General features: G+C 44.9%; 2 annotated features.

Moving 5' to 3' along the window:
- Positions 2,589-2,728: a silencer, noted in NCBI's record as "silent region_18531". NCBI's record gives its function as "represses an Ori minimal core promoter by ATAC-STARR-seq in GM12878 lymphoblastoid cells {active_cell/tissue: GM12878}" and the evidence as "EXISTENCE:reporter gene assay evidence [ECO:0000049][PMID:35858748]".
- Positions 6,581-7,088: an enhancer, noted in NCBI's record as "NANOG hESC enhancer chr7:105821183-105821690 (GRCh37/hg19 assembly coordinates)". NCBI's record gives its function as "activates a minimal SCP1, AML or CMV promoter by ChIP-STARR-seq in primed H9 embryonic stem cells {active_cell/tissue: H9 hESC(primed)}" and the evidence as "EXISTENCE:reporter gene assay evidence [ECO:0000049][PMID:30033119]".

Raw genomic sequence — 9,414 nt, forward strand, 5'->3', positions numbered from 1 at the left:
CTATAAACATTGCCTTACTTGATATCATTTGGCTAGTATATCCACAGATAAGGTTCCATTCCAGGAGGAAATTGTAGATTGTTTTTAAAGTTTGTGCATTTTATATTTTAAGCGATATTATTAAACAGCTTTCCAAAAATGTTGCACCAATTTACACCCTTTCCCCAACAGGTATCTCATCTGTTGTGACGATGTGTCAGGACAGGGCTATCTGTGTTCTTCAACTGACTAGGCCATTTGTACAACATGCCCTTGGCATTGTCTTCACTTGTCTCTCTCTCTTTTTTTTTTTTCCCCAAGAGAGCTCTCTCCATGGTACAATCATCCTCTCTTGCCCAGCTTTCCACAGGATTCTGGGGGAGACTGTATTTTCATTTAGCAAGCATTTGCTCTCCCTCTCCCATACCCCCGCCACCCCTTTATGGGAAGAACATATTATCCCACTGATGTTGGGTTGGCCATGTGACTTCCTTCAGACATCAGAGTGCAAGTGAATGAGGCATGAGCAGAGGCTTTACGTGTGCTTGTATGGCTTAGCTTCCCTCCTGTGCCACTGCCATTTTCCATGAGAAGAGCATGCCCCAGGTGGTTCTGGTTCAGAATGAGAGACACAGGGAGCCTGACCCACAGCCTAAAGCAGTCACACCAGCCAACCCACTGATCCGTGAGTGAGAAATACATGCTTTTATTGTACTTGCCGAGATTTTTGGGTTTGGGTTGTTACATGGCATGATTGCAACAATTGCTGACTAATACAAGCTTCTCACATTTATATTTTCAAAATGCTATATACTTGGAAACATATATATATTTTTACAGAAGTGCATAGCATATTTATGATTGTGTTACACAGGTTTTCCTGCTGTCTTTGTCTTTTCCTTATTAGATCGGTTATCCCCTCTTTTATTTTCCCTTATCCTACCTAAAGAAGTCTCCTTTCCTTTCCAAGTAATCCATGTTAACAGCCTACAATGCAGCCATCTATATTTTCTCCATATTTATTATATACTTATATACAATAATATGAATGCATATATTGCAGGAATGACATTCAAAATATGTAGCAAATACGTACTGGCTGCAGTATGCACAGCACCAACCAAACACAGTGAACGCTTGCTAAAATGTCCAATATGGTTTTATCAGTGTACACTGGCTGAATGCCAGCCCTGCACACACACGTACACATATACACAACAGAAATTTCTATCATTATGTTGTTTTACAAAAATGGAGCAATATTATGAACACTTTTACCCTATATTTTTAATGATTGTTTTCCACACAGTACCTCATTCCTTAAATTTCAACTCCAATATGGCTCTATTCATTCCATTTAATTGCTGTATAAAGCCATATTGAATGGGCTAGATCTATCAGTGTTTATTCAACAGTACCCTATTAATGGCCTTTTTCTTTGTACTGGTGTTTTTGCTACTGGGAACAATGCTGCAATTAGCATTCTTGTGCAAATATTGATGTGTCCTGGTGCTTTTATCTTGAGAGCATCAAGTCCCCAGAATGGAGCAGGTGGATTGATTGAGTGGTAAATTTTGTTAGATGACGTCAGATAGCTTTTCAAAGTTCAGTAACAATTTATATTTTTTGCCATCAAGATTTAAAGAAATCCTTTCCCCTACATCCCACTCAGCTATAAGTAAGTGGCTTTCTGATTTTTGCCAGTAAGTATAGGTATACAATAATGATCTGCATTTCCCAAACTGCTAGTGAGCTGAACACTTTTTCATGTCTTGGCTACTTGGATCTTCTCTCCATGTCTTTGCTCATTTCTCCATTGCGTTTTTTATATCCTTGTCAATATGTAGAACCTTTTTTTGCATATTGTAGGTATGAATCCTATGCCTACATTGAAATACTTTTTTTCTTAATCTACTATATGTCTATTGTTTTGGCGTAGGTTATCACTGCCCTAGCAAATGCTATCATGAGTTTAGGAGTGTGCTGCATCTTTCTCATGTATTTCTTTATATCTCTCTCCCCCTTCCCTCCCTCTGTTCTCCTCCCTTTCCTCTTCTTTCCCATTTCTTTCTCTCTCTGTGCCTGTTTTCCTTCCTTTCTGTGTCTTCCTCAGGATCTCCTTTTTTCTACCTCCTGCTCTGTCTGCTTCCTTTCATCTACTCCTTACCTCCTTGCTTCTCCAGCTCCATGGGAATACTCATTTTCAGTGCAGAGAGCACAGTGTTTTTCTGCTTGTGTCACTTACAAAACCAAGTCAGACCGAAGAGGTATTGCAGAGCAGCCCAGTAAGGGGTTAAAGCAGTATGTTTTCAAAATCGGCTGAATGTAAGTTCCTTTGGGAAGGTTTTTCTTTTTATATGGATCCCCCAGACCCATCCTCAGAGGTTTTGATTCTGTAGGTCTGGATGGGTGTCAGTGGGTATTTATTTCCAAATCTATCCAGGTGATTGCAGTACCTGGCCATCTGTGGGTGAGTGCTGGCTCAGGGAAGTTGGACATGTGCTCCCCAGTGTGGGGGTAGCTTGCTTGGGTGACTGGACAACACAGGTTATTGCAGTCTTAGATAATTGGCTTCCACAACCACCCAGCTCAGCACAAGACAGCAGGGAGGGGTTCCAGCGGAGTAGAGACAATGGTGAAGTCGTGGTCTTCTGGCCGGATTCTGCATCTCAAATGGCAGCTTTGCATGAATGCAGCCGCAGTGTGGCAAATGGGCACAGGGGGGCAGTGTGGCCCCACGTGGCTCCGAAGCCCTCTGATTCTGCATGAGGCCTGACCCGGGCTGGAATGCCGGCTCCAGGAAAGCTGTGAGCTGGTGAAGGGCTCTCCCACTGCCTTCTTCCCCTTCCACTCTTAGTCCCTGTCCCACAGAACCTGGCTTTCAGATGATTAAAGTTCATCCACCATTTACTGAGCATGAATTATCTCATGTCGAACACTGTCCTGGGTTATTTCATTTAATCTTCATAACAATCCAAGAAAGGCATATGATTTCCACCCTACGCAGAGGAAGCTGCAGTTTGGGGAAGTTAATTAGTTTCCCAGTGATGGCAGAGCCAGGATTGAGACCAAAGCCTGTCTGACTCCAACCCCAGTTGAGTGGAATTCTTTGCATTCAGTAACTGCTGCTCAATACAGGTAACAAATAGTTGATTCTGAACATATTAGGTGCTAATTTACCAGTTAATTTATTCATGCACGCTGATTGTTTCCCCTTTCTTCCTTCTTTAAAGAGATCAGTAAGAATAACCGAGTTAGCTAAGAAAGCTCAAAGCCCGAGGTCTGTTTGGATTTTAACAGGAGACTCTGAAGAAACAAAGAATGAAATAGCTGATGGTGAAATAGTGGCCATGGGGTTGGCTTCTCCATTCAACTAGGCCAGGGTATCACACTAAGAGTCTGCAGATCAAATGCAGGATTTTATTTGGCTAACATGATGTTATTTAAAAACCTAAATTCCAGTGGTTTTGTTGTTTATTTAGAGACAGAGTCTCCTTCTGTCGCCCAGGCTATTCCAGTGGTTTTAGGTGGGACATCTGCTTTGCAGTTTATCACAATCCCACCCTTCCCCTTTCTGTACATCTTTCTGCTTTGCTCGTTGATGCTACCTGCCTGGCATCCGCTAACAGCAGTGCCGGGCTGACGGGTCCTGTCACACTCCTGCAAGATGAGAACTGGCTTTGGGCCCTGCTCTGTCTCTTTCCCTTGCTCCACTTCCCTCCCAGGTGCTTCCCTCCCAGGTGCCATCATTGGCCCTCACACCTGTGTTGGGTGCGTCAGTCAGTCTGCTCTGCTGCTTCTAGCACCCAGATCAGTCCCAGGTTCGCCAGGGCTAAATTTAACCTGCAGCTGCTTCATCAGATGCTCGGGTATTTTCAGCCCTAGGAGCCTCGGGTGGCTGAGCTGAAAGTAGCTGAGGACTGCTGGCCAGGGCTTACGTCCAGTGTTGTGGATTGAAATTAGCATCCAGGTTGGTCCAAGGTCTTGGCTACCCCCCACACTGTGCTTCCATTTTTCTTAACTGAAGATGAGGAGAAGAGAGAGAAGGCAAGAACTGGCAGAGAATAAGACAACACAAAATAGATCCTGGGATCCCTCTGAATTTGCTCCATCATTCCTCCCTTCTCCACAGCCAGGAATGCCCCTCTGGTTGGTGGCCTAGCAGAGGGTACAGTCTGCATCACACAGTGAAGTGCTGCCAGCTGGCCTGTTCTCTCCCAAGCCACTGTTTTGGGGAGCCACCAGCCTTGCTCTGAGCTCCAGCGTTCATGTGTCTGTCATTCAGTGTCCTTTCCTGACATGGGCATTCACCAACAGGACTATGTTCCCCAAAGCCTTGGCCCATGACCTCTGAAAGTTCCCTGCTGATGTGTGCTGTGGAGTCGATAGTCCCTCTGGCCAAGCAAGCAGATGCGTGTGCAAAACTGCAGGCTGTCAGTGGCATTTACAAAGAGAAGAGGAATGTGGGTCCAGAGATGGGGCAGGCGGCCTTGAGGGGAGGAGAGGAGAGGAGATGCATGTGGAGGGGGGTTGTAGCCCCTAGGTCCTGGGGCCCTGGGATGGAGGAGGTGCCTGCCTGGGCATGAACCATCCTGCCTATCCTCAGCTGATGTCCTTGGCAACAGGCTGTCAGCCATCATCAAACCTCCTGTGAAGCCAAGTGAAGCAAAGTCCTCCCTTTCTCCCTAAATCCTACATGTCCAAGGCAGGAGATGTTCCCCTGACTACTACTTTAGTAGGTGCCCAGTGGGTGGCACCTCTAGCCCACAGCTCCAACACTAGAAGGGCTGTAGGGATCCTTTGTTTGGATCTGCTCATGTTACAGACAGGCAAGCTGTAGCCCTCAGAGGTTGTAAGTTTCATGGCTGGAACCCTGACCTCCTGATATGAGTCCTCAGCACCCTTCTCTCTTTCACGCCAATATTCACAATACCTAACAATCAGGATTCTGTACCAGGCACTATTTCATTTTATTTGTTTGAGACAGGGCCTCGCTCTGTCACCCAGGCTGGAGTGTGGTGGCATGATCACAGCTCACTTCAGCCTCAACTTCCCTGGGCTCAATCGATCCTCCTGCTTCAGCCTTCTGGGTAGCTGGGACTAGAGGCACATGCCACCATGCCTGGCTAATTTTCCATTTTTTGTAGATACGAGGTCCCACTATGTTGCCAGGGTGGGCTCCAACTCCTGGGTGCAAGCGATCCCTGCCTTGACCTCCCAAAGTGCTGAAATTATAGGTGTGAGCCACTGTGTTGGGCCCACCAGGCACTATTGTAAACACTTCTCAGGTATTAACTCATTTAGACCTTGTGTGAGGTAGGCACTGCTATCATCCCCATTTCACAGATGAGGACGCTGAGACTCAGAGAGGTAAGTGACTTGCCCAAGGTCCTGCAGGAATTGAAGCTGGGTGTTCTGGCTCCAGAGCCCAAGTTCTTCACTACTGTGCATACTGCCTCTCGCAGGACTTCCTGGGACTGCCTATTTCATGTCCATCTCCTGCACCAGATTGTAAACCTCTTGATGAAAAGGATTCTGTTTTAGTCCCCCTTGGGTCCCCCAGATTACGCCAGAGCCCAACACAGTGGAAGCTCAAGCGAATGTTGGTTGAATGAATGGAAGAAGAAAAGCATCAGTTAAACCATTGTTCCTTACCCTGCATTTCTTGGAACCAATGTCTCTGAGAGCTTCCTGAGTATAGGGTGGGACATTTTGGCCTCTGGGCAGAACCCAGCTGGGTAAGAAAGCAGCCCTTCCCTGGGTGGGACCCTCCTGGCTTCTCGCTCCGCCTGTGTGACTATGAAGCGGGAGCGCTGCATATTTTCTTCTTCAGAGCAAACACCTGGGTTGATTGTTTTGGCAACTGTCCTGCAGACTGAGGAGCACGCGGAGCATGTGGAGTGTCCGGCTGACTGCTGTGACTGTGGCAGCAGCGTCACCTCTGTGTGGGGCCAGAGACAGTGAGGGCTCCCTCTTTTGTGCCTCAGCCGCTGTGTTCTTGAGGCTCAGACCCACAAAGGTCTCTGAGTATCCAGTTTTCTGAGGCTAATGCAGGGGAAGGGACCCAATGTGGGTAGGGGTAAGGTTGGGGTGGGGTGAGGGGTGCCGAGTAGATGGGGCTTGCACTGGGACCTGGGAAACATACTGAGAGTCAGAGATTTGCATGCAGCTGTATTGCATGTGGACTGGGGAAGCCCCGTGGGGAGTCAGGGTGGCTCTTCAGAGGTCCTGAATTGAGGCAGTGGGGCTGAGCTTTACACCCTCTTCATCCACCAGTTATGGGGACATAGTGGCTGCCTCAGGGATGGGAGCAGACCTTGGGCAAGCAGCTCCTTAATTAGAAGCAGGCTTCCTAGAAAGGAGGATTTGTGAGCCATCAGCAAGCAACACTTGGGCCAGCATGGTGGCTCATGCCTGTAATCCCAGCACTTTGGGAGGTCAAGGAGGGAGGATTGCTTGAACCCAGGAATTTGAGGCTGCAATGAGCTGTGATCACCCCACTACACTATAGCCTGGGCAGCAGAGTGAGACCCTGTCTCTAATAAATTAATAAGCAATGCTCCCCATTGTTGGGGAATGAGGTGCTAAGTCTTAAAGAAGGATCTGGGGAGGTACCACAACATCTGTCAGACACATTCACCTGGAAGACGACAAGAAACAGCTATGGCTGTTTCTTCAGCCCATGGCTGTTTCTCTTGTCATCTTCTAGGTGAGTGTATCTGGCAGTGGATGTTGCGGTGACTTCCAGGTGATTGTGTCTGGCAGTGGATGTCATGGTGACGGCGAGAGAAACAGCCCCGGGCTGAAGCCATGCTGAGAAGCAGCAACAACAGGAGAAACAATGGTTCTGAGTGCCAGAATCACCAGTTAGCAGCAGCACCTCCTGGGAATTTGTTAGAAATACACATTCTCAGCCCCACATCAGATTCGGTCAGGAACTCTGGGGAAGGGGCCCAGGAATCTGTATCTTAACAAGCCCTCGAGATGATTCTGATGCAAGCCAAAGTTTGAGAACCACAGTTCTAGACTACCCCATTGGCAGGACTGATTGAAGACGTCAAAGAGTATTTATTGAGTTCACATATTTTGTAGAAGGTGGCATTCAAGGCATGTTGCAGACTGAATACAACCCTTGTCTCCCTCTTCCTCACCCTGATGGAAACTCTGGACCAAGTATGAGAACCTTAAAGAGCAACAAAGTACATGGAGCCAATCATTGCATTGGCCCAAATCCTACATCTACAGGAAAAGGGAACAGAAGATACATTTTTATCCAAGATTTGTCACATCTGTGGGCCTCCAAAGATCAGCAAAATAAGACATTAATACTTTTCAATCTTTTTCAAGTTGTAATATGCTAATAACTGATGGGTTAAATTACAAATCATGATCTGTTCCCAAAGACTCTCAATACACATAATTACTTAGAAACAACAATTAGCCTTGGAAATTAATGATTAAAACCAACACAATTTATTACTAAACTATGTCCTCAAAGCAAGAAGTGGTGTTTAAAGAACCTCCCAGTAGGACTAACGCTTGTGAAAAAGTTAATTTAGGTAGGCTAATTTAAAAACCAACATAGGCCCTCTTTTGGATCACCATTTATGTAAAATCATGTTAGTAAGTATCTTAAGTTTTAACTCCTATCTATTCAAGACGATTGATTTATGAAATTTTAATTTTTCTGAATCAGAAGTTGACACTTAGATCATCTTTTTTGGTTGCTTTAATTAACAGGCTTCTACTTTCCCTTTCTTTGTGGTTGCATAGTATCAGAAGCCACTCCTTTATTTTCAACTTCTTAAAATCACTTTGTTTTACATTTCTTTTTTGCATGTAGTACATAGCTGGATTTGTTTTTAAGCCAACCTGACAGTCTGTTTTTTAATGGGTTAATTCAGTTTGTTTATATTTAGTGACAACTGATAATACAGTTGACCCTTGAACAACACGGGTATGATCTGGGAGACTCTACTAATACGCAGATTTTTTTCAACCAAACTCAGATTGAAAATACAGTACTCCCTGGATGTGAAACCCACTTTAACAGAGGGCTGACTTTTCACATAGGCAGGTTCCACAGGGCTGACTTTGGGACTTGGGAATGAGCAGATTTGGGCATCTGTGGGGGTCCTGAAACCAAACCCCCAAGTGTAACAAAGGATAACTATACTCACTTTCCTTCTGCCAACTTAAGTATGTTCACTGTTTGTTTTATTTTTTTATTTTTTATTTTCTTTGAGATGGAGTCTTGCTCTGTCACCCAGACTGGAGTGCAGTGGCCCGATCTTGGCTCACTGCAACCTCCGCCTCCTGGGTTCGAGCGATTCTCCTGCTTCAGCCTCCTGAGTAGCTGGAATTAAAGGTGAATGCCACCATGCCTGGCTAATTTTTGTATTTTTATTAGAGACGGGGTTTCACTGTGTTGGCCAGGCTGGTCTCAAACTCCTCCTGACCTCAGGTGATCTACCCGCCTCGGCCTCCCAAAGTGTTGGGATTACAGGCGTGAGCCACCGCGCCTAGCCTGTTGTTCGTTTTATTTTGCTGGTTCCTCTTTATTCCTTTTCTTATGGTTTGGTTAAGTTACCATTTATTCCCTTTTCCCCCGTTGTTAATTTTTAGCAGCTTCATTGAGGTATAATTGACATATACAATAAACTGCACATTTTAGATTATGCAAGTTGATAAGTCTTGACATATGTACAGGTCCTAAAACAGTCACCAAAATTCAGGTGATGAACATATTTATCATCCTTAAAAGTTTCCTAGTGCCCTTTTGTAGTTTCTTCCTCCCATCAACTTTCTGTTACAGTTTGTACTTTAAAGAATTTTATATAAATGAAATCATACAGTATGTGTATGTTTTTGTTTGGCTTCTTTCAGTCAGCATTCTTTTGTTTTTGAGATTATAAATTGTGTGCCAGTAGCTTCTTTGTTTTTATTGCTGAGTAGTATTCCACTGTATGGATATGCCATAGTTGACATTCACCTGTTAGATCCATGGTATGGATATTCCATAGTTGGCGTTCATTTACCTGTTGATGAACATTTAAGTGGTTTCCAGTTTTGTGCTATTACAAATAATGCTGCTATGAACACTGATGTGTAGATCTTTGTGTGCATGTACATTTTCATTTATCTTGGCTAAATACCTACAGTTGGAATGTCTGGATCAAATAGTAGGAGTACGTTTAACATATTATGAAATGTTCATATTGTTTTTATTTTTTTAATTTTAATTTTTTATTTTTTTGAGAAGGAGTCTCTGTTGCCCAGGCTGGAGTGCAGTGGTGTGATCTCAGCTCACTGTAACTTCTGCCCCTCGGGGTCAAGCAATTCCCCTACTTCAGCCTCCTGAGTAGCTGGGCCTACAGGCGCCTGCTACCTTGCCTGGCTAATTTTTGTATTTTTAGTAGAGATGGGTTTCACCAT

The sequence above is a fragment of the Homo sapiens genome, chromosome 7 (genome assembly GCF_000001405.40).
Source record: "Homo sapiens chromosome 7, GRCh38.p14 Primary Assembly".
Lineage (NCBI taxonomy): Eukaryota > Metazoa > Chordata > Mammalia > Primates > Hominidae > Homo > Homo sapiens.